General features: G+C 58.3%; 2 protein-coding genes and 2 non-coding genes across 29 annotated transcripts in view, besides 15 other annotated features; 3 read left to right on the top strand and 1 right to left on the bottom strand.

Annotated features, from left to right (window-relative positions):
- Positions 1–826: part of an enhancer, noted in NCBI's record as "NANOG-H3K27ac-H3K4me1 hESC enhancer chr17:17740077-17740979 (GRCh37/hg19 assembly coordinates)", that runs on past the window's edge. NCBI's record gives its function as "activates a minimal SCP1, AML or CMV promoter by ChIP-STARR-seq in primed H9 embryonic stem cells {active_cell/tissue: H9 hESC(primed)}" and the evidence as "EXISTENCE:reporter gene assay evidence [ECO:0000049][PMID:30033119]".
- Positions 595–754: a silencer, noted in NCBI's record as "silent region_8259". NCBI's record gives its function as "represses an Ori minimal core promoter by ATAC-STARR-seq in GM12878 lymphoblastoid cells {active_cell/tissue: GM12878}" and the evidence as "EXISTENCE:reporter gene assay evidence [ECO:0000049][PMID:35858748]".
- SREBF1 (sterol regulatory element binding transcription factor 1) lies at positions 603–26,255 on the top strand. 19 transcript variants are annotated; one of them, NR_170945.1, is made up of 21 exons: positions 603–862; positions 13,982–14,071; positions 17,068–17,499; positions 17,864–18,051; positions 18,135–18,269; positions 18,355–18,576; positions 19,215–19,329; positions 19,673–19,893; positions 20,132–20,333; positions 20,453–20,631; positions 20,871–21,132; positions 21,216–21,382; positions 21,561–21,729; positions 22,260–22,368; positions 22,645–22,754; positions 22,842–22,974; positions 23,179–23,344; positions 23,820–24,020; positions 24,110–24,221; positions 25,533–25,616; positions 25,805–26,255. NR_170945.1 is itself a non-coding variant. In NM_001388387.1 (20 exons), the coding sequence occupies exons 1-20, from the start codon at positions 772–774 to the stop codon at positions 24,965–24,967; spliced, it is 3,483 nt and encodes a 1,160-aa protein (NP_001375316.1). In that variant the 5' UTR covers positions 603–771; the 3' UTR covers positions 24,968–26,255. The 19 variants fall into 19 exon arrangements, 15 of the variants coding, with proteins under 15 accessions (NP_001375316.1, NP_001005291.1, NP_001375318.1 ...); NR_170990.1 differs by lacking the exon at positions 13,982–14,071 and having other exon boundaries at positions 25,859–26,255; NR_170944.1 differs by lacking the exon at positions 13,982–14,071.
- Positions 827–1,728: an enhancer, noted in NCBI's record as "NANOG-H3K27ac-H3K4me1 hESC enhancer chr17:17739175-17740076 (GRCh37/hg19 assembly coordinates)". NCBI's record gives its function as "activates a minimal SCP1, AML or CMV promoter by ChIP-STARR-seq in naive H9 embryonic stem cells {active_cell/tissue: H9 hESC(naive)}" and the evidence as "EXISTENCE:reporter gene assay evidence [ECO:0000049][PMID:30033119]".
- Positions 945–1,224: a silencer, noted in NCBI's record as "silent region_8258". NCBI's record gives its function as "represses an Ori minimal core promoter by ATAC-STARR-seq in GM12878 lymphoblastoid cells {active_cell/tissue: GM12878}" and the evidence as "EXISTENCE:reporter gene assay evidence [ECO:0000049][PMID:35858748]".
- Positions 5,725–6,472: an enhancer, noted in NCBI's record as "H3K4me1 hESC enhancer chr17:17734431-17735178 (GRCh37/hg19 assembly coordinates)". NCBI's record gives its function as "activates a minimal SCP1, AML or CMV promoter by ChIP-STARR-seq in naive H9 embryonic stem cells {active_cell/tissue: H9 hESC(naive)}" and the evidence as "EXISTENCE:reporter gene assay evidence [ECO:0000049][PMID:30033119]".
- Positions 6,473–7,221: an enhancer, noted in NCBI's record as "H3K4me1 hESC enhancer chr17:17733682-17734430 (GRCh37/hg19 assembly coordinates)". NCBI's record gives its function as "activates a minimal SCP1, AML or CMV promoter by ChIP-STARR-seq in naive H9 embryonic stem cells {active_cell/tissue: H9 hESC(naive)}" and the evidence as "EXISTENCE:reporter gene assay evidence [ECO:0000049][PMID:30033119]".
- Positions 8,999–9,720: an enhancer, noted in NCBI's record as "H3K27ac-H3K4me1 hESC enhancer chr17:17731183-17731904 (GRCh37/hg19 assembly coordinates)". NCBI's record gives its function as "activates a minimal SCP1, AML or CMV promoter by ChIP-STARR-seq in naive H9 embryonic stem cells {active_cell/tissue: H9 hESC(naive)}" and the evidence as "EXISTENCE:reporter gene assay evidence [ECO:0000049][PMID:30033119]".
- Positions 9,721–10,442: an enhancer, noted in NCBI's record as "H3K27ac-H3K4me1 hESC enhancer chr17:17730461-17731182 (GRCh37/hg19 assembly coordinates)". NCBI's record gives its function as "activates a minimal SCP1, AML or CMV promoter by ChIP-STARR-seq in primed H9 embryonic stem cells {active_cell/tissue: H9 hESC(primed)}" and the evidence as "EXISTENCE:reporter gene assay evidence [ECO:0000049][PMID:30033119]".
- Positions 13,079–13,258: an enhancer, noted in NCBI's record as "active region_11813". NCBI's record gives its function as "activates an Ori minimal core promoter by ATAC-STARR-seq in GM12878 lymphoblastoid cells {active_cell/tissue: GM12878}" and the evidence as "EXISTENCE:reporter gene assay evidence [ECO:0000049][PMID:35858748]".
- Positions 13,269–13,318: an enhancer, noted in NCBI's record as "active region_11812". NCBI's record gives its function as "activates an Ori minimal core promoter by ATAC-STARR-seq in GM12878 lymphoblastoid cells {active_cell/tissue: GM12878}" and the evidence as "EXISTENCE:reporter gene assay evidence [ECO:0000049][PMID:35858748]".
- Positions 13,599–13,948: a silencer, noted in NCBI's record as "silent region_8257". NCBI's record gives its function as "represses an Ori minimal core promoter by ATAC-STARR-seq in GM12878 lymphoblastoid cells {active_cell/tissue: GM12878}" and the evidence as "EXISTENCE:reporter gene assay evidence [ECO:0000049][PMID:35858748]".
- Positions 14,020–14,170: a silencer, noted in NCBI's record as "fragment chr17:17726733-17726883 (GRCh37/hg19 assembly coordinates)". NCBI's record gives its function as "represses an EF-1alpha promoter that drives an FKBP-Casp9 reporter gene in an ReSE screen in K562 erythroleukemia cells {active_cell/tissue: K562}" and the evidence as "EXISTENCE:reporter gene assay evidence [ECO:0000049][PMID:32094911]".
- Positions 17,787–17,836: an enhancer, noted in NCBI's record as "active region_11811". NCBI's record gives its function as "activates an Ori minimal core promoter by ATAC-STARR-seq in GM12878 lymphoblastoid cells {active_cell/tissue: GM12878}" and the evidence as "EXISTENCE:reporter gene assay evidence [ECO:0000049][PMID:35858748]".
- Positions 18,114–18,834: an enhancer, noted in NCBI's record as "H3K4me1 hESC enhancer chr17:17722069-17722789 (GRCh37/hg19 assembly coordinates)". NCBI's record gives its function as "activates a minimal SCP1, AML or CMV promoter by ChIP-STARR-seq in primed H9 embryonic stem cells {active_cell/tissue: H9 hESC(primed)}" and the evidence as "EXISTENCE:reporter gene assay evidence [ECO:0000049][PMID:30033119]".
- Positions 23,658–23,753, top strand: MIR33B (microRNA 33b). Its single transcript, NR_030361.1, has one exon. It is a non-coding gene; the product is annotated as a microRNA 33b (primary transcript).
- On the top strand, positions 24,044–24,109 carry MIR6777 (microRNA 6777). Its single transcript, NR_106835.1, has one exon. It is a non-coding gene; the product is annotated as a microRNA 6777 (primary transcript).
- Positions 24,274–24,832: an enhancer, noted in NCBI's record as "H3K27ac-H3K4me1 hESC enhancer chr17:17716071-17716629 (GRCh37/hg19 assembly coordinates)". NCBI's record gives its function as "activates a minimal SCP1, AML or CMV promoter by ChIP-STARR-seq in primed H9 embryonic stem cells {active_cell/tissue: H9 hESC(primed)}" and the evidence as "EXISTENCE:reporter gene assay evidence [ECO:0000049][PMID:30033119]".
- RAI1 (retinoic acid induced 1) overlaps positions 26,136–27,619 on the bottom strand; it is a 129,996-nt gene continuing 128,512 nt past the window's right edge. For all 8 annotated transcript variants that reach the window (XM_047435151.1, XM_047435152.1, NM_030665.4 and 5 more), the window contains one exon: positions 26,136–27,619. In XM_047435151.1, the coding sequence (XP_047291107.1) occupies positions 27,608–27,619 (12 nt within the window). In that variant the 3' untranslated portion in view covers positions 26,136–27,607.

Raw genomic sequence — 27,619 nt, 5'->3', positions numbered from 1 at the left:
AGAGGCCAATCTTCTGGTTTCTTTGCAGAGAGGGGGCAGGCTGATCTCACAGGTCATGCTCCCCTCCACATTGTCACTAGCCTCCCAGCCTGCCCGTGAGAAAGCATCATTAGGCCCATGTTACAAATGAGGAAAATTGAGGCAGAGTGATGTAACTGGCCCAGCAGTTACATCAGGCCTGCTCACAACACAGCAGGCCTGGGACCCCTATAACTTGGATCCTGGTCTGTCTTGTTCTAAAGAGTCAAATCTAGGAAATGAGGAAATGAAGTTTGGGATGGGCCCAGGCCTGGGGCTTCCACTCGGCTTCCTTGCTTGGTGCTGGAGAAACAGAGGCCCAGAGAGGGGGCTCGGCTTGCCCGCGTTCCCGCAGCAGCCGGCCAGAGGCCGCTGCCATTGTGCGCGAGGCTGGATAAAATGAATGACTGGAGGGCGCTCTGGAGGAGGGGCCGGCTGAGGGGAGATTTGTGGCGCAGACCGGGGATCAGGGGTCCCCCGCTCTCTCAAGGTGGGGCGGGGCCGTCTATCTGGGAGGGCGGGTCCTCCCCGAAAGGCCCCGCCTCCGCCTCGACCGCCCAGCAGAGCTGCGGCCGGGGGAACCCAGTTTCCGAGGAACTTTTCGCCGGCGCCGGGCCGCCTCTGAGGCCAGGGCAGGACACGAACGCGCGGAGCGGCGGCGGCGACTGAGAGCCGGGGCCGCGGCGGCGCTCCCTAGGAAGGGCCGTACGAGGCGGCGGGCCCGGCGGGCCTCCCGGAGGAGGCGGCTGCGCCATGGACGAGCCACCCTTCAGCGAGGCGGCTTTGGAGCAGGCGCTGGGCGAGCCGTGCGATCTGGACGCGGCGCTGCTGACCGACATCGAAGGTGCGTCAGGGCGGGCAGGGCTTGAAGCTGCGCCGGGTGGCGCGAGTAGGGGGCGCGCAGGTGTCTCCCTGGCCTTTGTCTCCCCCACGGGCGCCAGCTCCGTGCTGTGCTCGCGCGGGACTTCCCGGTGTCTCTGAGCTCGGTGTCCCGAGCCTCACCGAGCCTCCCTGGTTCCCGCGCTAGCGTCTCGGGCCGCGCGCTTGTGGGTGAGGGCTCCTGGGCCGGGCCGGGGTCCCTTGGCGGCTCCGGGCCGGGACACGTGCGCCTCTACGCGTCCCAGGCCGGGTGCCGCCCGACCGGTGACTCTCCAGCCCTGTGATGGCCACGGCTGAAGCTGGGGACCCAGGCGTCGCCGAAGCTCCGCCCCAGCCCCAGCCGTGACGTAATTGCGAGGTTACTCACGGTCATTCCCTCCGGCCCGAGAGTTCAGCTCGGCGTCGGAGCTCTTGCGCATGCGCATGGGCGCTGCCTCGCGCCCTTCCCCCGCCTCGTGTCGGGTTCTCCCGGTCTGCGACGGGCACAGCCTCCGCACTCATTCACTGACATCCACCGAATGCCAGGCCCCGTCTTAGGCACCGAGGGTTTACAGACAGACCTGGGTACCCCCTCTTTTAGGGAACACAAAAATCTCCCGGGAAACCAAACGGGTATTTAGTTGTACCTTGGGTGGAGCGAGGCTGGGGGAGGGCAGGGATGTGGCTACTTTGGGTAGAGCGGTCAGGGACTTCTAAGCTGAGACCTGAGGGTCACCCCCAGGACCAGCAAGGAAAGATGTTTTCCAGGCCACGGCAAGGGAAGGGCAAAGGCCTCGAGGCAGGGCCTAAGTGTGAGGAGTTAGAGGCTTGCAAAGGAGTGAGGTCAGGGAGGAGGAGGACGCAAACCGACTTGGTCGGCCAGGGAAAGGGCGGAGCAGAACAGTGGCACCGGCTTCCATCTTTGGAGCATCACCCTGGCTGTGATGAGAAGGGGTTTGGGGCCAATGGTGGCACCAAGTGCCAATTAGGAGGCCCGTTGCTTCCATTTTGTAGATAGAGCAAACGGAAGCCCCTAGCAAATTGCCTGCATGGTTTCTGTGCAGGAGTTTTAGCAGCACTAGCTAAGTTGCACTTGGTTGATGAGGAAACTGAGGCCAAGGTCGCAGGAACAAGATGCCTAGACTCACAGCCTGAATGGACATGTCCATGGAACCCGTGGCCACCCTGGGGTTGGCAAAACAGATATATCTATGCCACCACCACTCCTGCCCTACTGCAGCCTTGCAGATGAGCCCAGCTGGTTGCCAGCCCCAGAAGCTTCCCAGCCCTCCCTCCTTCCCCCTGGGGCTGGGCTAGGGGAGGACCCCAGAGGAGAGGCCCTGATTGTGAGGCTTTTCCAAAACAGCCTCCCCTATCCCTGGCACGAGGGGTTGTCCTTCACTGCCCTCTGGAGTGATGAACCCTGAAATCCCAAGCCCTAGGGAGATCTGGGCCTGACTCAACTACCAGTTCCACATCACTGGGCCCAGTGAGTGTAGTCCCAAGAGGCAACGTGACCAAGCCAGGAGGACATGCGCTTTGGGGTCAGAACTTGAACCTGGACACTCCTCACTTCCTTTGTCATCCTGCTCAAGCCCTCTCACCCTCTAAACCTTAGTTTCCACCTCCAGAAAAATGATGCAAACCCTCCCTTCATGGGCAAGTTGGACAACAGAACCCGTTCTGGGCCACAGGTCTGATACAGACCTTTGTTTGTTTGTTTGTTTGTTTTCTGCAGTGGCGCAATTTTGGCTCACTGCAAGCTCCTCCTCCTGGGTTCACGCCATTCTCCTGCCTTAGTCTCCCAAGTAGCTGGGACTACAGGCGCCAGCCACCACGCCTGGCTAATTTTTTGTATTTTTAGTAGAGACGGGGTTTCACTGTGCTAGCCAGGATGGTCTCGATCTCCTGACCTTGTGATCCGCCCGCCTCAGCCTCCCAAAGTGCTGGGATTACAGGTGTGAGCCACCGCTCCCAGCCCAGACCTTTCTTACTGACAGAATCTGGTCTGGGCCAGAGGTCTGATACAGACCTTTCTTACTGACTCATGGATAAAAACATTGTCTCTCCAGAACCAAAGGCCAGGCATGGGCAGCCATGTGGCCCAAGGTCTAGTCTATGAGAGAGTGGGGGCAGTCCCAGCCCCTTGAAGACTGGGGGCAGCCCCTTCTCACTAGGCAGGGCTCAGCTTTACCCACTTCAGTAGAGGATTTTTCAGTTTTTATTCAAACTTCCTGTTTTTCTTCCCAATTACACACATCTTTTTTCATTGTAGAAAACTTAGAAAATGCAAGTGAGCAAAAAGAAGAAAATAAAATCTTTAGACCTGGGGTGGTGGCTCACACCTATAATCCCAGCACTTGGGAGGTCGAAGCAAGAGGATGACTTGTGTCCAGGAGTTTGAGACCAGCCTGGGCAACATGACAAAATCCTGTCTCTACAAAAATAAAAAATTAGCTGGGTGTGGGTGACATGTGCCTGTAGTCTCAGCTACTCTGGAGGCTGAAGTGGGAGGATTGCTTGAGCCTGGACTTAGAGGCTGCAGTGAGCTATAACCATGCCGTTGCACTCAGCCTGGATGACAGAGTGAGATTCTGTTTCAAAAAAAACTTTAAACCTACCACCCAGAGATAAGCCCTGCTAATTATGTGAAAGAGCTTTTCTTCTCTCTCTCTCTCTCTCTCTGTGTGTTTATATGTGTTTGGGGATGGGTGCACACTCTTCATAAACTTTTTTTTTTTTGAGACAGGGTCTCGCTCTTTTGCCCATGCTGTAGTCCAGTGGCATGATCTCAGCTCACTGCAAACTCTGCCTCTCAGGTTCAAGAGATTCTCCAGCTCCCAAGTAGCTGGGATTACAGTCATGCACCGCCACGCCTGGTTAAATTTTGTATTTTTAGTAGAGATGGCCATGTTGGCCAGGCTGGTCTCGAACTCCTGAGCTCAGGTGATCTGCCCACCTCAGCCTCTCAAAAGTGCTGGGATTACAGGGCATGAACCACCATGCCCGGCCTTCATCAATTTTTTAAAAACGACTTTATTGAGGTATACTTTATGTATCACAAAATTTACCCATTTTTAGTATATCATTCAATGATTTTTAGTTAACTTTTTGAGTTGTGTGACAATTACTAGCTGTCGAACATTTTTATCACACAGTGAGATCCCTTATACTTCTTTAGTCAGTTCCTGTTCCTGCTCCCAGCCCCGGGCAGCTGTGGATCTGTATGTGTGTGTGTATATATATATATATATATATATATTTTTTTTTTTTTTTTTTTTTTTTTTTTTTTGAGACGGAGTCTTGCTCTGTCGCCCAGGCTGGAGTGCAGTGGTGCGATCTTGGCTCACTGCAAGCTCCGCCTCCCAGGTTCAAACAGTTCTGCCTCAGCCTCCCGAGTAGCTGGGATTACAGGCACCTGCCACCACGCCCGGCTAATTTTTTTGTATTTTTAGTAGAGATGGGGTTTCACCATGTTAGCCAGGATGGTCTCGATCTCCTGACCTTGTGATCTGCCCACCTCGGCCTCCCAACGTTCTGGAATTACAGGCGTGAGCCACCGCGCCCGGCTGGATCTGTATTTTTATAAATTAAAATAGGGTCCATTGGTTCACAGCTGATTGGAATCTGCTTGGTTCCATGTCAACAGCCAGACGACAGTAAGGTTTCCTCTTATTACCCACCTGATTCCCTGTCGATGGACACCTAGGTTGTTTTATCTTTATAAACTGCTGCAGTGGACACTGAGGCCGGTTTTTTTCTTTGTTTTTTTTTTTTTGTTTGTTTGTTTTTGAGACAGAGTCTTGCTCTGTCACCCAGGCTGGAGTGCAGTGGCGCGATCTCGGCTCACTGCAAACTCCGCCTCCCGGGTTCACACCATTCTCCTGCCTCAGCCTCCCGAGTAGCTTGGGACTATAGGTGCGTGCCACCATGCCTGGCTAATTTTTTGTATTTTTAGTAGAGACGGGGTTTCACCGTGTTAGCCAGGATGGTCTCGATCTCCTGACCTCATGATCTGCCCGCCTCGGCCTCCCAAAGTGCTGGGATTACAGGCGTGAGCCACTGTGCCTGGCCACTGAGGCCAGTCTTTGCCCGGATCCTCACTGTGTTCCTAGGATGAGGTTCTGGGAGGGGAATTGCTGGTCAGAGGTCGAGCCTGCTTTTGAAGCTTCTTCTACCAGGAGTGGAGCTGAGCAGGTTTGATAAGGTCTGAAGATTTGGGGGTGGAAATGCCAGGTCCCTTGAGAGACATGAGGGATAAGAGGGGGCCAGGCTGGCCTTGAGTGCCAGAGTGCAGAGCTGGGCTAGATGTGAGGACAGTCGGGGGTCAGAGCAGGGGCACACCGAGCTTCAGTTCCCTCTGGCTGCTTGGATGGAGGATCGTAATGTGAACAGAAAACACTAATTGAGTACTTACTGTGTTTCAGACAGTGTGTTGATAATCCCACTTAATCCCCTGACAACCCCAAGTAGGTAGACATATGATGAAGATGACGGCCTTGAGGACCAGAGAGGTTAAGTGATTTGCCTGAGATCACACAGCCAGATGATGGCAAAGCCAGAATTCAAACCCAGGCTGTGGGCTCCAGAGCCTAGCTCTTAAGCTCTTAAGCACTGGGCTCCTAAGAATGGGGATGAGGGGTTGAGGGAGGCTCCTCCACAGGGGCTACTCTGGGGGCCTGGAAGTGGGTCACAGAGGGGTCAGAGGCTATGTGGCTACCTCCCCATCCCAGTCCAGAGCAGTGTTTGAGTCATTAGACTGGGAACCAGCCCTGGTGAGCCAGCCAAGGGCCTTGGGCCCCATCCGGTCCTGCTGCCTGCCACAGCCAAACTCTTGTCATGTGAATGGATTTGGGGATGGAGCTGCCTCCATGAGTCCTTGCATCTGTGGGTGAAGGCACTGCCCTGGCTATAGTGTCCCTGGGTTTGAGTCCTGCATCTGCACCAAGACCTCAGGTGAGCCTGTCTCCTTCTGGGCCTCAGAGTACCTTGCAGCTGTCGGGGGAGGATGGATCAGGAGATGGCCCTGTACCTGTGTTGGGGATTATTGTTAAGCCCGTGGCAGTCTTCACCTCCCTGCTGAGGATTAATTTATCCAATTTTGCACAAGCTTATGAGTGCAGAAGAGGCAGACGGAAACAGAGTTCTGGCCAAGAGCCTGGAACAGGGCCTCGGGGTCTCTTTCCTATGCCTGGACCCCGTCATGTCTGCTCTTTGTCTGTCGGACCCCAGATGTCTGCCAAGCCCCGTCAGAGGCTGCTTCCCAGAAAGCCCTTCTGGGTGTCACCTTGCCCCGAGCAGTGCGTTCTCAGAGTTCTCCCGCCCTGATGTCCCTCCCAGCATGCCCAGCCCAGCCACAACAGGGCCTTGCTTCTAGTCATGTGTCTGGCTGTTTGCTGGGTCCAGGCCAGCCCTGGTAGGGCACAATGGGGGCCCGCTCTGCCACCCCATACCTCTCCCCAGGATATCTCATGCCCCAGTTCTCTCCCTAGTTCCACCAAGCACTGGCACTCCTTAGAAAACACAGCTCTAGACTAGTTACTGCCCTAGCTTACAGCACAGAACTCCCCTGGTCTCCAACCATTCATGGCTCCCTAGTGCTCCAAGATAAAGTTCCCTTGTCTCAGCCGGGTTGGGAGTTACCTTCTGCCCAACATTCACCTAGCTGGACACAAACATCCTGAGTGACCCGGTCAGCTCCAGGCAGGAGTCACTGCCAGCAGAGGCCTGGGATCTGGACTTTGCCTGCTGACAGGTGGAGCCCAGGCCGGCCAGAGGAAGTGCCTCTGACCTTGTCTCCTAGCAGCCACGGGCCATGTGGACATGCCTTTTGACCCTGGGCACTGACAGTGTGTGACAGCCTGCACCATGTGCTCCACAGGGGCGGCTGTGTGTGTCGGGGGTGAGGTGGGGAAAGCCTTAACTGGCTCAGGGGTGAGAGGTCAGGGAGCCATTGAGACTGGCTCCAGGTGTGGGTCCCCTGCTGGGTTGGGGCTTGTGGGAGGTGGGACGGGGCTGGGGGTCCATCCCCCTAGGGGGAATTTGTGGCCTACCCCGAACCCTGTTTGAGCTCCTTTCCTAACTGACTCCCCGTCCCTGCACCTGTCTCCCAGCAGGCCTTGCCTCTGCATGCTGCCCCTGCCAGGCTCTGGGGTCCCTGTGCTCCCTGCAGCTAGAAGGCTGGGATCAGGGGTCTTAACAAGCAGCCCTACTGTATGACCTTGGACAAGTCCAAGAACCTTCAGGTTCTTAACAATGTAAAGGGAGCAGTACTAAAAGCAGCTTCTTGGAATTGTGGGGATCCGATGAGTGAAGGCTTAAGCAGTGCATGGCACATAGTAGGCCCTGAACCAATGCCAGTTAGTGTTATTATTATCACCATTTAGCCAGATGCAGTGGCTCACGCCTATAATCTTATTGACTTTAGAGGCTGAGGTTGGAGGATTGCTTGAGACCAGGAGTTCAAGACCAGCCTGGGCAACATAGCAAGGCCCTGTTTGTTTTAGAGAAAACAAACAAATCACCATTTAGAGCACCTAACCAGTACCTGGCACGCGATAGGTTTAGCTCAACAAATGTTAGCAGCAATTACCCAAGGAGCCTGTGCTGGAAGTTTCTAGGATGTACCAGGCTATGGTTCCAAGTTCTGAGCATCTACCATGTGGTGGTCTGGAGTTGGTGAGAGACAGGATGGGGCTGACTAGGCCAGTGGGGAGCACCCCCCGCCATGGGGAACAAGCACCCTATCCTTGGCTTCCATGGAAGATAATTGATGCTGGGCACAGTGGCTCACGCCTGTAATCCCAGCACTTTGGGAGGCTGAGGCAGGGGGATCGCTTGAGTCTGGGAGTTCAAGACCAGCCTGGGCAACATTGTGAGACCCAAACTAAAAAAATTAGCTTGGCATGGTGGAGTGTGCCTGTCGTCCCAGCTACTCAGGAGGCTGAGGCTAAAGCTGGAGGATTGCTTGAGCCCAGGAGGTTGAGGCTGCAGTGAGCCATGATCATACCACTACACTCCAGCCTGGGCAACATAGTGAGGCCCTGTCTCAAAACAAACAAACAAAAAGAACCTGCTGAGGAAGCAGTGTTTCTGGCTGGGGGAGGACGGGCAGAGTGGCCATCTGGCCACAGATGGCGGTTTCTGTGCAAAACACATCAAGGCAGCCTTGGAAATGTGAGTGAAAGCACCTTCAAAGTTCTGGTCACAGCCTTGGGACTAAGCAAAGCCACCAAAAGTACATAAAAGACAATGACCATCACCCAGTGCCGGTGATGCTAGAAGGAAAGGGAATACGTTGTAGGGAAGGTTGTAAAGGGCTTTATCTTTTCCAGACTGGAGCCTGGCAGCTCGAAAACATCTTGCTGCCTTCATATGAGCTTTAAAACAAGCTGCAGAGAAACAACTCAAGAGGGAGAAATATATATATATATGTGTGTGTGTGTGTATGTGTGAGTGTGTGTGTGTGTGTGTATACATATATATATATATATATATATATATATATTTTTTTTTTTTTTTAAGATGGAGTCTCGTTCTGTCACCAGGCTGGAGTGCAGTGGTACAATCTCGGCTCACTGCAACCTCCGCCTCCTGGGTTCAAATGATTCTCCTGCGTCAGCCTCCCAAGCAGCTGGGACTATAGGCACATACCACCACGCCCAGCTAATTTTTGTATTTTTAGTAGAGGCTGGATTTCACCATGTTGGCCAGGATGGTTTTGATCTCCTGACCTCGTGATCTGCCTGCCTTAGCCTCCCAAAGTGTTGGGATTACAGGCGTGAGCCAGTTTGTTTTTAGAGACGGGGTCTTGCTCTGTCACCCAGGCTGGAATACCATGGCACAATCACAGCTCGCTGCAATGTTGAACTCCCGGGTTCAAGGGATCCTCCCACCTCAGCCTCCAGAGTAATGGAGACTACAGGCTCATGCCACCATGCCCAGCTATTTTTAAAACTTTGTAGAGATGGGGCCTTGCTACATTGCCCAGGCTGGTCTTGAACTCCTGGGCTCAAGTGATCTGCCTGCCTTTGCCTCCCAAAGTGCTGTTATTACAGGTGTGAGCCCCTGCGCCTAACCTTAGCACTGCCATTTTGACTGAAAACAGGTGCCCAGCAGCAGGGGCTACTCCCAGAATTGCCACTGCATCAGGCCCGTGGGTTGTTTTCAGCTGCCAGTGATAAGTATGTGCCCTGGGCCACCTCTCGGACAAGGTGTCTGAATTGGTGCCGACCAGCATCACATGTAATTGCCATCTCGCAGGTGCTGCTGAGGGTAATTCCGCACACCTGTAGCTCCGGGAAGAGCCTAGTGGGGAGGAGGAAACGTGGCTCTGAGGTTTATAGGGTCAGACGGTCAGTATGTTGGGAGCTGGCATGTGGAGGGGCACAGACAAGGGAAGAATGGGAGGTGGCATCAGAGCAAGTTTTGATGGAGGAATAGGAATTCACCAGGTGGAAAGGGCATTCCTGGTGGAGGGAACAGCCTGGCCTTCAATAGCTTGTGGTGTTCAGAAAGCAGGCAGGGAAAGGGAGGCCCAGGGAGACACCAGTTAGGGGATGGGGGTGGAGGCAGACGAGGGTGGAGGAAGCCATGGCTGGAGTCTGCACGGCCTCTGACTGGGGTCCCTGCTGTGGTCAGCCCTGTGCTGGGTGAGGCTGGGGTCACAGCTGGTTCAGGCCCTGACAGGAGGGGCCCCCAGCTGAGGCCCAGCCTCTAATTTGGCAGGGCAGGTGGATAGGTCTGGGGGGGTGGTGGTTAGGAAGCCTCCAGGAGGAGGCAGTGCCGGAGCTGAGCCTTAAAGAGCTTCGTGTTGTCCTCTCTGTCTTTGCACTCTGCACACACTCACTGAACTGCGACAAATGAGGATAGCTGGTCAGGGCAGAGGCAGGCCGGAGTTGGGGCTCACTGCTGTCCCCCACAGGCTGGGGCTGAAGGGCAGGCTCTGGGGCCGCAGAATGGGGTTTGTGTACCAGATTCTTCATATGGCAGCTGTGGGACTTTGGGCACGAGGCCTCCGTCTGAGCCTTAGTTTCCTCAAGAGGACCTGCGCCCAGGTGCACCTGGGGCTCCAGCCATGGGTGCGTCCCATTCCGGGAAGAGCTGGCACACACTTGTGCCCCCGGGGCAGCCATGAGTGCACAAAGGGCAGCCTGTGCCACTGCTGGATACACGACCAGCTGAGAACACGAGGACCGCCGACTCCAGTTAGGAGGATCAAGGAAGTGCCTGGTGGGAGCAGAACAGCAGGTGGGGTGCAGCCCAGCTCCCTGGAGGGATGGTGGGCACCCATCCTCACCCTGCTGCCTCCATTAGCAGGCCGAGAGGGTGTGCTCTGGAATCCCATGAGCACCTGTGCCACATCCTCCCCTGTGGCTGACCCTTCTTCACAGTTGGTGCAGCTTTGTGGTCTGTAGTGCAGGGATCAATTGGCAAATCCCTTTCCCACCCATTCCCTGGAGAATTGGGGTCCTTGGCTCAGATGACAGACCAACCTGAGTTGGAATCCCAGCTCCTTGGTGGCCGTCCTGGCCTCCACCCCCTCACTGCCTCCGCTCCTCCTATCCTGCCCACGCCCACTGCAGGGCCTTTGCACACACTGTTTCTTCTGCCCTCCCTTCCGGCCCACTCCCTCATATCATTCAGTCCTCCTTTCAGATGTCACCTCCTAAGATGGGCTGCCCTGACCACCTCATCTATAATGGCCCCAGTGCCTGGCACAGGATTGGCACACAGTAGATATTGTCAGAGATGGATCTGGGTTCTGTGGACAAGGCTGTGGGGGCAGGTGAAGAGCTCCCTCTTCCAGGAGGTTGTTTGGGGTTCAAGGCCTTGTTTGGGTTGTAGGCTTCTGTGCTGGTCAGCGTTGGGCCCTACAAGCGCATGCCATGAGGCCTGCCCAGGATTTCCCTCATGGCCTCACAGAATACATCGGCCAGAGTCATTAAAGGGCGCCTGCATCTGCCTTCAGAGAGAGGTTTGAAGGTAGAACTGGGGAGGGATGCCAGGTGGGGGTTCAGGTTTCCTGTTGGGTCCTGATAGAATCAGGGCAGGAGAGGAAGAAGAAGAGGGAAGAGGAGGAACCCAGGCTTGGGGAGGGGTGGCAGGGCTTCACAAGCCTGGGGAAGGTGAACTAGGGAGCAGTTGGGGCCACCATGGCCCAGAGTCTATGCCTCCTCTTCCTTCCTGTGTTCAGAGTGTGTGTGGGAACCACAAGGGCCTTCTCAGTGTTCATAGGGAAGCCCGGTTCACCCATGGGTGGGCCGCAATTTGGGTGCCACAGTGAGCCCCTAGAGACCAGCTCTCCCAGCTTCCAGGACAGGGACTAGGGGAGGCAAGAGAGGCTCTTCCTTAAATTGTGCACCCAAGGTGCCTCAGCTGCCTTACTCTAGACTGGCCCCGTTAACTCCCCTTAAAAAAAAAAAAAAAAAGACTCAGTCGAATGGTAATGGAGCTCCAACGTGAATACTGCAAGTATCAGGCAACTCACTACCTGACTTTCCAGTTCTAAACCATTCTAATTGCTGTAGAGAGAACTAACCTTTGTTGAGACTGTTGAGTGATGGATGTTTTACACACTTGCTTTCCCAGAATTCCCACCTCTGGAGATCGTAGGTGTGGGAGCTCAGAGGGTGGGGAGTGGACTGTCCCCATCACACAGCAAGGGAGGGGCTAAAGGAAGAGCAGGGCCTGGCATGCAGCCCCAGATAGCCCACTTGGGTGTGTCTCTGAGGGAGGCTGCAGGGCTGGCTCTAGAGTTTCCTTTTTCAGTCTTAACCTGGTGACCAGCTTCCACAGAAATTGGCACGGTGACTCATGCCTGTAATCGCAACACATTGGGAGGCCGAGGTGGGAGGATCACCTGAGGTCAGGAGTTCGAGACCAGCCTGGCCAACGTGGTGAAACCCTGTCTCTACTAAAAATACAAAAATTACATTTCATTACAGGTGTGGTGGCGCACACCTGTAATCCCAGCTACTCAGGAGGCTGAGGCAGGAGAGTCACTTGAACCCGGGAGGTAGAGGTTGCAGTGAGCTGAGATCGTGTCACTGCACTCCAGCCTGGGTGACAGAGCCAGACTCTGTCTCAAAAAAAAAAAAAAAAAAAAAAGAAATTGGCCAGTAGATCAGCCCCAGGGGAGAGTGAGCCAGGGTTTGGCCAGGCCTTGAGTTTCAGAGGCTGGCCATGGCCAGTGGCACCCAGGCCCTTCCCCCTTCCTCGGGGCATCTTAGCTTAGTCTGTGCCCTCTGCCCAAGGGCCAGCCCTCTGTTCCCAGGTCACACCCCCTCCTCTTGGAAGGCCCCCCCCGCCCCACCCCCATCAGAGTCTTTAATGACTCTGCTGCCCCTGGGGCTCAGAGAGCAACCGCCCTCTCCCATCGCGCTTCCTCAGTGGGATGGGAGGGGGTTAGAGCAGGAAGATGAGACAAATAAAGACACAATAAGAGGCAGGAATATGTGGTAAAGCCAAGATGGGTAAGGGGAGGGGACAGGCTTGACTGTTCACAGTGGCCCTGGCCCTGCTGTCTCAGGCTAGTATCTGCTTGTTGGTCTCACCACATTCTAGGCTCAGAAACTGGGGAGCAAAGTAATGAAAGAACCAGGCTGGGAGGCCATGGGGAACTCATGCCTGGAGTTCAGCTCTCAGTGTGCTTTTGGGTCAAGGACGCTTCCCTGTCTTAAGTCACTCATGTCAGAGCCTTTGCCAAGAGCAATGCTGTGTTTTGTTTTGGGGGTGAGGGAACACCCGCGGGCTGAGGGGAGGGTTGGGCCATGCTAGAGAGGCCGTCTGTTGTCCTTGAACCTCCCAAAGCTGGGAAATAAGGGCCTGGGCTGGACGGCGGTGGCGAGGACAGGTTGCGAGAGAGACATGGCTGGGTTTTCTTGCTTAGGGTCCTGAATAGAGAGCAAGGTTGAGGCCGCAGGGACCCCAGCCCCCAATGGACTGCTGAGTCGCTGGGTCTGCCCAGGGTTCAGGCACCCTCTCAGGTTGCAGCCAACTGGGGTGTGGACCAGGCAGAGGCGCTGGCCTGCAGTTTGGGGCAGAGGCAGGCTTTGCTGGTGGTCTACTTGGCTGCAAAATCAACTGGCCAGGCTCTGATCACTTTGTGTGTGTGTGTGTGTGTAACTTTTACCTTTGACAAAAGAGGGAAGACAGGCCCAGGCACCTCCTCAAAAGAACCCTAGAGCCTGTCACCCCTTCCTTACCCATCTTCTGTCCTAGGGACTGCAGCCCTTCCTGGCTTCCCAGGGCCCTACAATGAATAGTGGGTCGGGACTCACTTGGTGACTGCTGGGTTGTGAGGCCTTGAGGGGGAGGGGCAGACTTCACCCATCTGGCAGAGGGACATCGGTGCTGGCAGTCAGGAAACCCTTATTTCCAGGCCTCAGTTTCCCGGAAGTGACCTGTTTTCAGGAGTGGCCTCATCCCAGACCATCAGCCCCGCTGTGGTGAGGGGTGGCCCCTTCCTGGGGCTGCCCTAGAAGGGGGAGGTCCCTGCACCCACCGCAGCTGCCACTCGGCAGCCCTTGGCCTTAATTAAACGCTTCTTGCGTACTAAGTGCTGCACCCATATTATCTCCCTTCTACCATTCGACGCCAGGGAGATAATGACTGTCCTGTTTTCTGGAGGAGTAAACGGAGGGTTGGAGCGGTTAAGGCTCGCTCAGGGTGCCAGCGAACCAGTGATTTCGAACACAGAGTTCTGGTGTGTTGGGCCAGGACTTCTCTGCTTTGACCCTTTAACGAAGGGGGCGGGAGCTGAGGGCCAGTGACCGCCAGTAACCCCGGCAGACGCTGGCACCGAGCGGGTTAAAGGCGGACGTCCGCTAGTAACCCCAACCCCATTCAGCGCCGCGGGGTGAAACTCGAGCCCCCGCCGCCGTGGGGAGGTGGGGCGGGGGCCGGGGCCGGGCCCTAGCGAGGCGGCAGCGCGGCCGCTGATTGGCCGCGCGCGCTCACCCCATGCCCGGCCCGCAGCCCCGAAGGGCGGGGCGGGGCGGGACCTGCAGGCGGGGCGGGGCTGGGGCGGGGCTGGGGGCGGGGCGGGGCGGGGCGGGCGCGCCGCAGCGCTCAACGGCTTCAAAAATCCGCCGCGCCTTGACAGGTGAAGTCGGCGCGGGGAGGGGTAGGGCCAACGGCCTGGACGCCCCAAGGGCGGGCGCAGATCGCGGAGCCATGGATTGCACTTTCGAAGGTATTTTTGGAGGCCTCCCCACCAGCCCTTTATACAATGCCTCCGTCTCCTGCAGGTTCTCCTGGGGTGGGCGGGCATGCGGGCTACGCAACTTGAGCAGGAAAGAGCCCCTTCCCGAGGGAGAAGGTGTGACAGTTACCAGCTCGCTGGGGAAGTGGAGGGCTACCTCCAACCAAATTAGTGTCCCCTGCAACTCAAGGGGGAAGGGTTTGCTTAGAGACCCAAAAGCAGCATCCCGACCTAAGAGGGTTTGGAGGGAGAGGGTGGTCTTCTCTACATTCTCTGCACCCGCTTTGGGACAGGACCAGGAGGAAGCAGGGAGGAGGGCCCGTTGTCCCTCTGCCACAGCGTCTGCCCTATTCAGCACCCCTGCCTATTGTGGGCATCTTAGACTTTTCAGGAAGACAGTGGGAGCCCTAGATTGTCAAAATTGTCAGTTTTTCTTTCAGGCCTCAGTTTCCCCCATCTATCGAAGAGGCTCACACGGACTGGGGTAAAGGGATGGGAAACCCTGCAGTTGAAAGTCCATTATGACTTGATGACTTGTGACCTGGGGGGTCCACAAACCAGGAGAGTTTCTACTTGAGAAGCCAGGAAGACTGGGGCTGCCACCCCATCCTGTTCTGCCAACTGCTCTAGGAAATTCCCCTCCTGCAGTAGCTTCCCTGCCTGGGTACCTGTCAGTAGGCAATGTTGGGTCTCCACTCGGTGCCAGCTGCCTGCCAAGCAAAGCCTCGGGCAGCCGTACCAAAAGGGGTTTAGTCTTTTCTGTTGTACAGATGAGGAAACTGGGGCCAGTGAGAGGAGGCTGTTGGTCCAGGCTCCACTTCAAGCTGGTGGTGGGCAGGGCTGGGAGCTCAGGCTGGGGATCCTGAGAGCACTGGAGGCCCCCATGGGTCCTGTAGAGCATTCTGACCCAGTGGGTGCCACCACGAGTGGGTTAGAGGGCCCTGGGCTGAGCCAGATAGGCTGCTAGTCACCAGCTGGGGGAGAGGGCCCTTGGCCAGGTGGGGCTGAGGTGGGAGTGTGTCCCAGTCTGTATGAGGAGGAAGGAGTCAGGACAGACAGCACTTGCTTTTACAGAGATGAAATCAAAGCCCTGAGTGGCCAGGCCTGGGTCTTGAGGCTACTTGGCTGCAGGCAAAGCCTGGACTTGAGCCCAGAACTCTACACAGAGACACACTGGTTGGCCATGTGGCCAGCAGCTGGCTTGGCCCTAAGCCTTGGTCTGTTCCACTGAGTAATGGGTTGGTGATGGCAGCCTGGCTCTTGGCTTCTTAGTGGGGCAAGAAAAGGCAGAGAGACAATAGATTTGGGATTTTGTAGACCTGGGTTTGAACCCCACTGCATGCTCTTGGGCTGCTTGTGGTCCTCCCTGAGCCTCAGTGTCTTTTCTTGTCTCCAAGATGAGGTGAGCTAATCTTTTGAGGTAGTCTAGGGTAGTGGCCAGTGGTTGGGGCATTGGAGTCAAAATAGGGTCTGGACTCAGTTGAGTCTCTGACTCTATAAGAACTTAGGCCAGTAAGTCACCTCTCTACAGCTCAGTTTCTTCACGTGTAGAATGGGGCCAATGATCACATCACCCTCTCAGCTGTGGGTGAGGATTAGGGGTCTAGCCTGGCCCCATCAATGTGGGTAGCCCCACAGCGGGCCTGGCTTTTGGACCAGACCCACCCTTCTGACATGGGCCCCCACCCTTAGAGTCCTTCTAGTGTGGATGAGGACCCTGCTCTGATCTGGGGTCCTCTTGGGGGACTTCCCTGTCTGCCATTCTCTTTGGGGATCCTGCGCTGCCCTAGGAAGAGTGGGCCCAGGCTGCACAGTTGGTCCTTGGTCACAGAGGATCCCACCACTTCTTCAGGGCCTCAAGGCAATCCTGCCTCTCTCTGCACCCCTCTTCCCCCTGTAAACTGAGGGGAGGGGAAAATCACCCACTCCTCAGCAGTTTCTAAGTTGCTTTGTCAAATTCAGTGCCCAGAGGATCCTGCTGGGGGTGCGTTTTAGGATGAGACCAGGAGTGGCCAATGGTGGGGTGTGGGGCCCATCGCTCCTATATGAAGACCCCCTCTGCCCTAGACTGCTCCTCCCTCCCCATCCCCATCTCCATCCCAAAGACTGGAGCTGCTGGATCTGTGGATGGAGGCGTGCCCCCCGTTTCACACATTGAGAAACAGGCCCCAAGTGGAGCCAGGGAAGGCTGCACCTGGGCCTCTGGATTCCTTTTGTTCTGTGTGGGGTTGGGGGTGATGGACTGTGGAGAGGGCAGGAGAGCTGTCTGGAAGGGTTGGTCACCTCATGGGCAAATGCTTGGAAGCTGGTCTGAGTCCACGGTGCAGTGTGTATGTGTGTGTGTGTGTGTGTGTGTATGTGTGTGGACTCAGAGGTGGATGTCTTGTAGAATGCATGCCCCATGAAGACAGGAGTAAAAGTTTACCACCATCCACATCAAGCTACAGGACACTCCCAGCTCCCCAGAAAGTTGCTTAGTTCTAGGCAGGGATTTCCCTTATTCACAGCCGGGAGCAGTGCCTGGCATAGTGTGGGCACTCAGCACTCAGCACATGCTCACTGGATGAGTGAATGAATGTGAGCCTGCTGTTTGCTGTGGACTAAGGATGTTTCTAGATGTTTGGGCAAATACCGGATGGTGGGAAGAGCTCAGGCTCTGAAGTCTGCAGTCTTGGGCCCGACCCTGGGCTCAGCCCCAGCCTAGCTGTGGGGCAAGATTGTGAGCCTTGTGGTGCCCACCTTGTCCAGGTATTGTGATGCACTCGCAGCAGCAGGCATTGCTTTAGACAGCACAGGTGCTCGCAAAATGGCTGTATGTCCGGGAACACCAGCTCCTGTGGGTGGCTTTCTGTCCTGGTGGCATTGCCCACACATACAGCTGTGTGCCAACAAGGGTTGTGCAAATAAGGTTGTGTTTGGATGTGTGTGATGCCCTGTTTGGGGGTCAGTCTCTGCCTCACTCACGCACCCTCTTCTCCTTTTCACAGACATGCTTCAGCTTATCAACAACCAAGACAGTGACTTCCCTGGCCTATTTGACCCACCCTATGCTGGGAGTGGGGCAGGGGGCACAGACCCTGCCAGCCCCGATACCAGCTCCCCAGGCAGCTTGTCTCCACCTCCTGCCACATTGAGCTCCTCTCTTGAAGCCTTCCTGAGCGGGCCGCAGGCAGCGCCCTCACCCCTGTCCCCTCCCCAGCCTGCACCCACTCCATTGAAGATGTACCCGTCCATGCCCGCTTTCTCCCCTGGGCCTGGTATCAAGGAAGAGTCAGTGCCACTGAGCATCCTGCAGACCCCCACCCCACAGCCCCTGCCAGGGGCCCTCCTGCCACAGAGCTTCCCAGCCCCAGCCCCACCGCAGTTCAGCTCCACCCCTGTGTTAGGCTACCCCAGCCCTCCGGGAGGCTTCTCTACAGGTAAGGGGGATGTGTGGCGGGAGGGGACACCCGGGGTGGGGCTTCCAGGAGCACAGGAAGAAGCTTCTGCTGTGATGTGAGTAGAGGTCTGTGCAGGCTTTAGAAACTGGGGCTCCACTCGGCTGCTTGAGATGCCCTGTTACTAGCAGTCCTGGTGTGCTTGTTGCCGGGGTAGGCGCAACCTCGCACTGGAGGCCTGGCTTGAAGCCAGTGCATTTGCATCAGAGCCCAGGCAGGGACTGTCCATAGGAAGCCACATGGGGCAATGACTCATCCAAGGCCAGTCGGTGATAGAGACCTGAAGAGCAGGTTGAAAGTGGGAGAGGGAGGTCTGTGTCTGCAGCCCCATGCTTTATTTCTGCAGGAAGCCCTCCCGGGAACACCCAGCAGCCGCTGCCTGGCCTGCCACTGGCTTCCCCGCCAGGGGTCCCGCCCGTCTCCTTGCACACCCAGGTCCAGAGTGTGGTCCCCCAGCAGCTACTGACAGTCACAGCTGCCCCCACGGCAGCCCCTGTAACGACCACTGTGACCTCGCAGATCCAGCAGGTCCCGGTGAGGGGGTCTGGCCAGGGGTTGGGGAGGGGGCAGCCCCAGCCCAGACACACAGCTTACAGCCAAGCCTCTCCCACCCTCAGGTCCTGCTGCAGCCCCACTTCATCAAGGCAGACTCGCTGCTTCTGACAGCCATGAAGACAGACGGAGCCACTGTGAAGGCGGCAGGTCTCAGTCCCCTGGTCTCTGGCACCACTGTGCAGACAGGGCCTTTGCCGGTGGGTGACGTGGGCAGGGCATAAGGGAGTGGGGTCTACACACACACACACATGCCCACCTGGTAACATGTGCCTGGCCCTGCAGACCCTGGTGAGTGGCGGAACCATCTTGGCAACAGTCCCACTGGTCGTAGATGCGGAGAAGCTGCCTATCAACCGGCTCGCAGCTGGCAGCAAGGCCCCGGCCTCTGCCCAGAGCCGTGGAGAGAAGCGCACAGCCCACAACGCCATTGAGAAGCGCTACCGCTCCTCCATCAATGACAAAATCATTGAGCTCAAGGATCTGGTGGTGGGCACTGAGGCAAAGGTGTGGAGAGGCCTGCAGGGGCACAGACCGGGGTGTCCCTAGGAAGGAACAGATCAGGGGCAACTGGAAGGAAGAGAGGGAGTGAGACTGAGCCTGGACAAGCAGGGAATTGGAATTCAGCCTCCCCAGGCCTGGCCAGCCTCGTTTATTTAGTTAAACTGGTTTGCAGGCCTCTTCAATAAAGGTGGGGCTGTGCTAGGCATTGGGGATGCAGCAATGAACAAGACAGACAAAAATTGTCCCTCAAAGAAGAGCCGACCTTCTGGTGGGGGAGATGGACAGTAGGCAGGATGAATAAGTGCTCGAGACCACCACGTTTGGCTCGTTGCAGAGAAAGCAGGAAGAGGATGGTGAGGGTCCCCTGGTGGTAGCCAGGGAAGGCCTCCCTGAGATGGCGGCAGGCACAGCAGCAGCTAGCCAGACCCTGCTGTCTGCATCTTACATTCTAACCCTATGCCCGGCCTGGGAGGTGGGTGCTACTAGGCGAGGAACGGTTCAGGTAGAAGGAACAAGTGCAAAGGTCCTGAGGCAGTAATGTTGCAAAGCAGCTCCGCACCCCCTTGCTAGGGCTCTCCAACCCCACAACCCCCGACCTGACAGGCCACCTGTGCGCTCCCCCTCCCTCCCACACCGTGCAGCTGAATAAATCTGCTGTCTTGCGCAAGGCCATCGACTACATTCGCTTTCTGCAACACAGCAACCAGAAACTCAAGCAGGAGAACCTAAGTCTGCGCACTGCTGTCCACAAAAGCAGTGAGTCCTGGCTTTATTGAGCTCCAGTCTGGCCTCTTCTCTAGCCTTGCTCCACCTCCCGGCCCCACCCCATCCCTAGCCCCACCCCACCCTTGGTTCTGGCCCACCCTCTGCCCTGCCCACCTCACCCTTGGCTGTAGCCCTGCATTCAGCTCTAGTCCCTTGGTTACCTCTGGTCCTGAAAGAGACCTGGTGCCTCCCTTTGGCCCTAACCCAGCCCCATCAAAGCGTCCTGGGCTAGCTTTAGGAGCTACAGTAGTCCCTAGGCCTCCAAGGGCCTAGGCTCTGATTTGGGGTCACATATCCAGCCTTTACTCCTGGCTCTGTTCCTTTCGGCCCACAGAATCTCTGAAGGATCTGGTGTCGGCCTGTGGCAGTGGAGGGAACACAGACGTGCTCATGGAGGGCGTGAAGACTGAGGTGGAGGACACACTGACCCCACCCCCCTCGGATGCTGGCTCACCTTTCCAGAGCAGCCCCTTGTCCCTTGGCAGCAGGGGCAGTGGCAGCGGTGGCAGTGGCAGTGACTCGGAGCCTGACAGCCCAGTCTTTGAGGACAGCAAGGTTGGGCCCTGCCACGGTGCCCCCTTCCCCACTCCCAGCCATATCCTCTGAGCCTCATGACAGGGCCGGGAAGACCCTAACAGATCCTACCTCCCATTTCATAGACAGAATAACTGAGGCCTGGAGCCACGTGGGGTCCCACAGTAAGGTGGGCAGAATCCTGACCCCCCCCTTCCCAGCCCCATGCTCTCTGGGGTCCCTCCGATTCTGCCCTCACCACCCTGCCCAACCCCACCAGGCAAAGCCAGAGCAGCGGCCGTCTCTGCACAGCCGGGGCATGCTGGACCGCTCCCGCCTGGCCCTGTGCACGCTCGTCTTCCTCTGCCTGTCCTGCAACCCCTTGGCCTCCTTGCTGGGGGCCCGGGGGCTTCCCAGCCCCTCAGATACCACCAGCGTCTACCATAGCCCTGGGCGCAACGTGCTGGGCACCGAGAGCAGAGGTGGGACCGGCCAGCCTGGGCATCTTTGGGAGGGACACTCGGGGTGAGCCCCCAGGCTTGTGAACTTGGGGCTCTGGATTTCCTGGGAGCTGTGTCCCCAGCTTTCCCTCTGTCCATAGATGGCCCTGGCTGGGCCCAGTGGCTGCTGCCCCCAGTGGTCTGGCTGCTCAATGGGCTGTTGGTGCTCGTCTCCTTGGTGCTTCTCTTTGTCTACGGTGAGCCAGTCACACGGCCCCACTCAGGCCCCGCCGTGTACTTCTGGAGGCATCGCAAGCAGGCTGACCTGGACCTGGCCCGGGTAAGGGGCTGGCCCCGGCAGAGTGGGCAGGGCAGGGACCCCAGGCTGTGAAGGTGCTGGGTGTCAACCCTTGTTCCTGCTCCCTGTGCACACCATGAATCTGTCCCGTCCTCCCTGTGCCTAGCCACGCATCCGCAGACCCCCACCACCCCTCCAGAGCCTGCTGTGGACGGCTCTTCTGAGCTTTGGGGCAGCTGCTCTGACCTCACTTTTCTCACCTGGAAAACCCTCATCCACAGGGAGACTTTGCCCAGGCTGCCCAGCAGCTGTGGCTGGCCCTGCGGGCACTGGGCCGGCCCCTGCCCACCTCCCACCTGGACCTGGCTTGTAGCCTCCTCTGGAACCTCATCCGTCACCTGCTGCAGCGTCTCTGGGTGGGCCGCTGGCTGGCAGGCCGGGCAGGGGGCCTGCAGCAGGACTGTGCTCTGCGAGTGGATGCTAGCGCCAGCGCCCGAGACGCAGCCCTGGTCTACCATAAGCTGCACCAGCTGCACACCATGGGTAGGACTGAGCGTGGGGCGGGCTCCGAGGTGCTCCCTGCTGCCTGTGCTCCACCCACAGCCTCATGCCTGCTTGCCTTCCAGGGAAGCACACAGGCGGGCACCTCACTGCCACCAACCTGGCGCTGAGTGCCCTGAACCTGGCAGAGTGTGCAGGGGATGCCGTGTCTGTGGCGACGCTGGCCGAGATCTATGTGGCGGCTGCATTGAGAGTGAAGACCAGTCTCCCACGGGCCTTGCATTTTCTGACAGTGAGTGGGTTGGGGGGCTGGGGGCTTATCCCTGCAGCTCTCTCCAGAGGCTCCCTGGGTAAGAGCTACACGGGATGTGGCAGTGGTTACCAGGGGGACTCCAGGCCAAGCTGGGACTCGGCCCGGGGTCTGGCCCCAGGCTGTGTCCACTGTGACAGCCCAGTACCCTCCCCTACAGCGCTTCTTCCTGAGCAGTGCCCGCCAGGCCTGCCTGGCACAGAGTGGCTCAGTGCCTCCTGCCATGCAGTGGCTCTGCCACCCCGTGGGCCACCGTTTCTTCGTGGATGGGGACTGGTCCGTGCTCAGTACCCCATGGGAGAGCCTGTACAGCTTGGCCGGGAACCCAGGTGCTCTCTTACCCCTTCCCTGTCCCCTCTCCTGTCCCTCATCCTCATTCCTGTCCTGTCCCTTGTCGCCTGAATCTCTGGCTGTCTCTGGCCACCCCAGTCCTTCTCCCTGCCATGGGTTGTTGCTGTGGGGGTTGCAGGAAGGGAAAGGCCTGGGTGCCTCTCGTTCCCATTGGGGCTTTCAGAAGCACATGCAGGGATTGATGGGCAGATGGCTAATTGGAGAAGTGACCCCAGGCAGTGCCGCTGTGGAGTAAGGAAGCGGAGCCAACAATGGCATCTTCTCAAGTCGGTTTTCCTTTGGAAGCAGTGTAGGGCAGGCCTCAGTGTTGTCTCCTGGCCAAGGCTGGTGCTGGTGATAGTTATGTCCACCCGCTTTCCCCTGTCCTTGGCAGGGGCTGCACCCAGGGGCATGCCGGCACTTCCCAGTGGCCCTAGGTGTGGCCCCAGCCCACCCAGGAAAAAGCCCTTAGCTTGGAGAGGAGGGTGGGGCCCTGCTCCCCACCCCACTCACCTCCTCCTCTCCACAGTGGACCCCCTGGCCCAGGTGACTCAGCTATTCCGGGAACATCTCTTAGAGCGAGCACTGAACTGTGTGACCCAGCCCAACCCCAGCCCTGGGTCAGCTGATGGGGACAAGTAAGTGTCGTTGTGCCCTCCTCCAGGCAAGGCCCCTCCGGCGGGATTCTGAGAATAGCTCTGGCCTCAACCCTGTGGAGAGAGCCCAGAGCTGGGCTACCGTGCGTGCCATGCACGCTTCATTCCTCTCTGAGTTTCCTCTCCCCACCAGCCTGTGGGAGGAGACAGTGGCACTTTGCAGAGCCAGGGGCCAGGCTGTACTCTGGAGGGCAGGTGGGGAGCACCCTCCTAGGACCCCTGCCATCTGTTCCGACAGCCAGCTCTCTCCTTCCACAGGGAATTCTCGGATGCCCTCGGGTACCTGCAGCTGCTGAACAGCTGTTCTGATGCTGCGGGGGCTCCTGCCTACAGCTTCTCCATCAGTTCCAGCATGGCCACCACCACCGGTGAGTCCCCGGCCCCTGTCCTGGCTCCCTTCTCAGCTCCCCCGTGCAGCGTGACTGAGGGTTCAGGGGACCCTCCCTCTTCTGCAGGCGTAGACCCGGTGGCCAAGTGGTGGGCCTCTCTGACAGCTGTGGTGATCCACTGGCTGCGGCGGGATGAGGAGGCGGCTGAGCGGCTGTGCCCGCTGGTGGAGCACCTGCCCCGGGTGCTGCAGGAGTCTGAGTGAGTGCACGGCAGGTTCCTCCTGCCTGGTCCCGGGCTCAGCCTTCCTCATCCCCTGGGCACTGTGCCTCACTCAGCCTTTGTTCTGTGCAGGAGGAGTCACCACCTTTTTTCCTCAGGGAACTCGAGCCAGGGAAGTGGGGGGCACTCAGCCAGGGCTTGTGGACTGGTCTGACTGGCACTCTTCTGCCCTGGTCCCAACAGGAGACCCCTGCCCAGGGCAGCTCTGCACTCCTTCAAGGCTGCCCGGGCCCTGCTGGGCTGTGCCAAGGCAGAGTCTGGTCCAGCCAGCCTGACCATCTGTGAGAAGGCCAGTGGGTACCTGCAGGACAGCCTGGCTACCACACCAGCCAGCAGCTCCATTGACAAGGTGAGGGGTGGGGTCAGGGGCCTGGCAGGGCTGGGGGATTCAGCTTTCCATTCCCTGGTTCCTCTCCCCAGCCCCCAGGGGCTGCAGAAGACCATGGGGTTAGCCCAAGCAGCACAGGATAGGGGGTCCAGCAGACCCTGCTTTTTGGCTAAGGCTTCTGTCCAGAGGAGAGGGGTTGCCCCTATCTGGCCTCAGTTTCCCCATCCCTGGGAGGAGGGGGGTGGATGGTGTGGTAGGATCCCTTTGGAGGCCCTGCATCAGGAGGGCTGGACAGCTGCTCCCGGGCCGGTGGCGGGTGTGGGGGCCGAGAGAGGCGGGCGGCCCCGCGGTGCATTGCTGTTGCATTGCACGTGTGTGAGGCGGGTGCAGTGCCTCGGCAGTGCAGCCCGGAGCCGGCCCCTGGCACCACGGGCCCCCATCCTGCCCCTCCCAGAGCTGGAGCCCTGGTGACCCCTGCCCTGCCTGCCACCCCCAGGCCGTGCAGCTGTTCCTGTGTGACCTGCTTCTTGTGGTGCGCACCAGCCTGTGGCGGCAGCAGCAGCCCCCGGCCCCGGCCCCAGCAGCCCAGGGCACCAGCAGCAGGCCCCAGGCTTCCGCCCTTGAGCTGCGTGGCTTCCAACGGGACCTGAGCAGCCTGAGGCGGCTGGCACAGAGCTTCCGGCCCGCCATGCGGAGGGTGAGTGCCCGATGGCCCTGTCCTCAAGACGGGGAGTCAGGCAGTGGTGGAGATGGAGAGCCCTGAGCCTCCACTCTCCTGGCCCCCAGGTGTTCCTACATGAGGCCACGGCCCGGCTGATGGCGGGGGCCAGCCCCACACGGACACACCAGCTCCTCGACCGCAGTCTGAGGCGGCGGGCAGGCCCCGGTGGCAAAGGAGGTGAGGGGGCAGCTGCTGACCAGGGATGTGCTGTCTGCTCAGCAGGGAAGGGCGCACATGGGATGTGATACCAAGGGAGGCTGTGTGTGTGTCAGACGGGACAGACAGGCCTGGCGCAGTGGCTCACACCTAGCACTTTGGGAGGCTCAGTTGGGAGGACAGCTTGAGCCCAGGAGTTGGAGGCCGCAGTGAGCCTGAGTGACAGGGAGAGTCCCTGTCTCAAAAAAAAAAAAAGACCAAGCATCTTCTTGATGGTTACCTGATGACAATTCCTTTCACAAGGAATCAGTGGGGTGACTGTCATTTGTGGGATACATGACTGCACGTGCGTGACTCAGTCTGTGGACTTTGTGTGTGGGCTGAGACTAGGGTGGGGAGAGGGGAACCCGCCAGGCCCCCGCCAGGTACCTGTGTGCCAGGTACAGGCGGCTGGTGCCGTGGCTTGTGTGTGGGCAGGGCTCCCGCGGGGGCGTGGCCAGCTTGAGACCCATCCCTGACACATCCTCGTGTGCGCAGGCGCGGTGGCGGAGCTGGAGCCGCGGCCCACGCGGCGGGAGCACGCGGAGGCCTTGCTGCTGGCCTCCTGCTACCTGCCCCCCGGCTTCCTGTCGGCGCCCGGGCAGCGCGTGGGCATGCTGGCTGAGGCGGCGCGCACACTCGAGAAGCTTGGCGATCGCCGGCTGCTGCACGACTGTCAGCAGATGCTCATGCGCCTGGGCGGTGGGACCACTGTCACTTCCAGCTAGACCCCGTGTCCCCGGCCTCAGCACCCCTGTCTCTAGCCACTTTGGTCCCGTGCAGCTTCTGTCCTGCGTCGAAGCTTTGAAGGCCGAAGGCAGTGCAAGAGACTCTGGCCTCCACAGTTCGACCTGCGGCTGCTGTGTGCCTTCGCGGTGGAAGGCCCGAGGGGCGCGATCTTGACCCTAAGACCGGCGGCCATGATGGTGCTGACCTCTGGTGGCCGATCGGGGCACTGCAGGGGCCGAGCCATTTTGGGGGGCCCCCCTCCTTGCTCTGCAGGCACCTTAGTGGCTTTTTTCCTCCTGTGTACAGGGAAGAGAGGGGTACATTTCCCTGTGCTGACGGAAGCCAACTTGGCTTTCCCGGACTGCAAGCAGGGCTCTGCCCCAGAGGCCTCTCTCTCCGTCGTGGGAGAGAGACGTGTACATAGTGTAGGTCAGCGTGCTTAGCCTCCTGACCTGAGGCTCCTGTGCTACTTTGCCTTTTGCAAACTTTATTTTCATAGATTGAGAAGTTTTGTACAGAGAATTAAAAATGAAATTATTTATAATCTGGGTTTTGTGTCTTCAGCTGATGGATGTGCTGACTAGTGAGAGTGCTTGGGCCCTCCCCCAGCACCTAGGGAAAGGCTTCCCCTCCCCCTCCGGCCACAAGGTACACAACTTTTAACTTAGCTCTTCCCGATGTTTGTTTGTTAGTGGGAGGAGTGGGGAGGGCTGGCTGTATGGCCTCCAGCCTACCTGTTCCCCCTGCTCCCAGGGCACATGGTTGGGCTGTGTCAACCCTTAGGGCCTCCATGGGGTCAGTTGTCCCTTCTCACCTCCCAGCTCTGTCCCCATCAGGTCCCTGGGTGGCACGGGAGGATGGACTGACTTCCAGGACCTGTTGTGTGACAGGAGCTACAGCTTGGGTCTCCCTGCAAGAAGTCTGGCACGTCTCACCTCCCCCATCCCGGCCCCTGGTCATCTCACAGCAAAGAAGCCTCCTCCCTCCCGACCTGCCGCCACACTGGAGAGGGGGCACAGGGGCGGGGGAGGTTTCCTGTTCTGTGAAAGGCCGACTCCCTGACTCCATTCATGCCCCCCCCCCCAGCCCCTCCCTTCATTCCCATTCCCCAACCTAAAGCCTGGCCCGGCTCCCAGCTGAATCTGGTCGGAATCCACGGGCTGCAGATTTTCCAAAACAATCGTTGTATCTTTATTGACTTTTTTTTTTTTTTTTTTCTGAATGCAATGACTGTTTTTTACTCTTAAGGAAAATAAACATCTTTTAGAAACAGCTCGATACACACAATCTTCAGTGTGAAGCAATATACTAATAAGAACACTAGTCGTCTTAACATTTACAGTCTTCATATATATTATATATATGTATATGTATACATATATATACACTATATAACGAGGCCAGATATAATACACACGTTTACCATTTTACAGTCATATGTACAGGAAGTTGCTAGGGCGGCCCTGGGCTGGGGGCTGCGTCAGGCCTATCGAAGCGTGGACAGAGCTGAGGACACGGACGGACAGGCGGACGGACTGGCAGGGACTGGCCCGGGCCGGTGGTGGCTGCGTGGACAAGTGGCGTCGCGGTAGCCCCTTACCCGGCAAAGGCCCGGTTGGGGCTCTGTTGCGGGCGCACGACGCACGGCGGCGACACACGGGAGAAGCGAGCATGTTCCCAACATATATACATTCTATGTAACATATATATAGAGGGGTACACAGGTTTTGTACACGAAATCTAGCGCTGTCCCTGCTCCCGTGCAGAGTAGGCGCGGCGGTCCCTGGTGGTGCACAACGGTCGCGCGTCCGCCGGAGCCGGAGGTGCGTTCTGGCCGCTTCTTGGGTTTTGCGCTCCCAGGCTGGGCTCCAGGGGTGGGGTGGAGGACTGGAAAGGGGACAAACAGAGGCCAAAGGGTGTCCCAGTCCCGCCCACACTCGGGGATCCCGCAACCCCTAACTGAGCATAGCCCAGGTCTACCCCGGCTTTGCCCGAACCGCACGAGAGATCTGGCAAAGGCTGGGCGGGAAGGCCCCTGGACGCGTTCCGCACGGTTTGTTCCAAAGGCTCCGGCCTCTCCAGTGCCGGCCTAGCCCGCTCTCAGAAAGGCTTCCTTTCTCCCCCGCCTAGTCCACGGAGCTAGGAGCCGCCCTCCGCCTCTTCCAGTACTGTTTCGACCCCCACCCCCAAGCCCAGGGCTCCCAGCTGCACGCCACGACCGACTGGGGTGGCGGCAGCACCCACGTGGAATGTGTGCCACGTCGTCTTGAGATTCCAGAGGGAAAGTGTCCCCAGGACAAAGCCGTCTCCCACCCTCGCCGGAGGCTGAGCGCCCCGGGGAGTCTGGCCGCTCCGCGGGCTCCCCCTCCGCAAGCCTGGCCCCTGGGGTGGGCAAGAACGCCCTGTGCCGTCCGGTTCCGGGAGCAGGCGGCTCCGGAACGGGTTTTCCTCCCAACCCGGGGCCGCAAGTCTGAGCCCTAGGCGGCCGGATCCACGATCCGGGACCCGGATCAAGGATCGGCTCTGGACCAGCGCTGGGAGCAGCTCAAAGGCCCGGGGGCTGCGCAGGCGGCTCCTCTCCTTCGGCGGCGGGCGGGCAGGCGGGCTCCGGCGGCTCCTCCGGCCGTTGGGGTGGATTACTACGGCAGCCT

The sequence above is a fragment of the Homo sapiens genome, chromosome 17, assembly GCF_000001405.40.
Source record: "Homo sapiens chromosome 17, GRCh38.p14 Primary Assembly".
Lineage (NCBI taxonomy): Eukaryota > Metazoa > Chordata > Mammalia > Primates > Hominidae > Homo > Homo sapiens.
This window is presented reverse-complemented; position numbering and strand designations above follow the sequence as displayed.

Coding starts and splice junctions, on each gene's coding strand:
- SREBF1 (NM_001005291.3), top strand. CDS start 772: ATGGACGAGCCACCCTTCAGCGAGGCGGCTTTGGAGCAGGCGCTGGGC. Junction 19,894..20,131: donor CAGTCTTTGAGGACAGCAAG/GTTGGGCCCTGC, acceptor CAACCCCACCAG/GCAAAGCCAGAGCAGCGGCC. Junction 22,755..22,841: donor CAGCATGGCCACCACCACCG/GTGAGTCCCCGG, acceptor CCTCTTCTGCAG/GCGTAGACCCGGTGGCCAAG.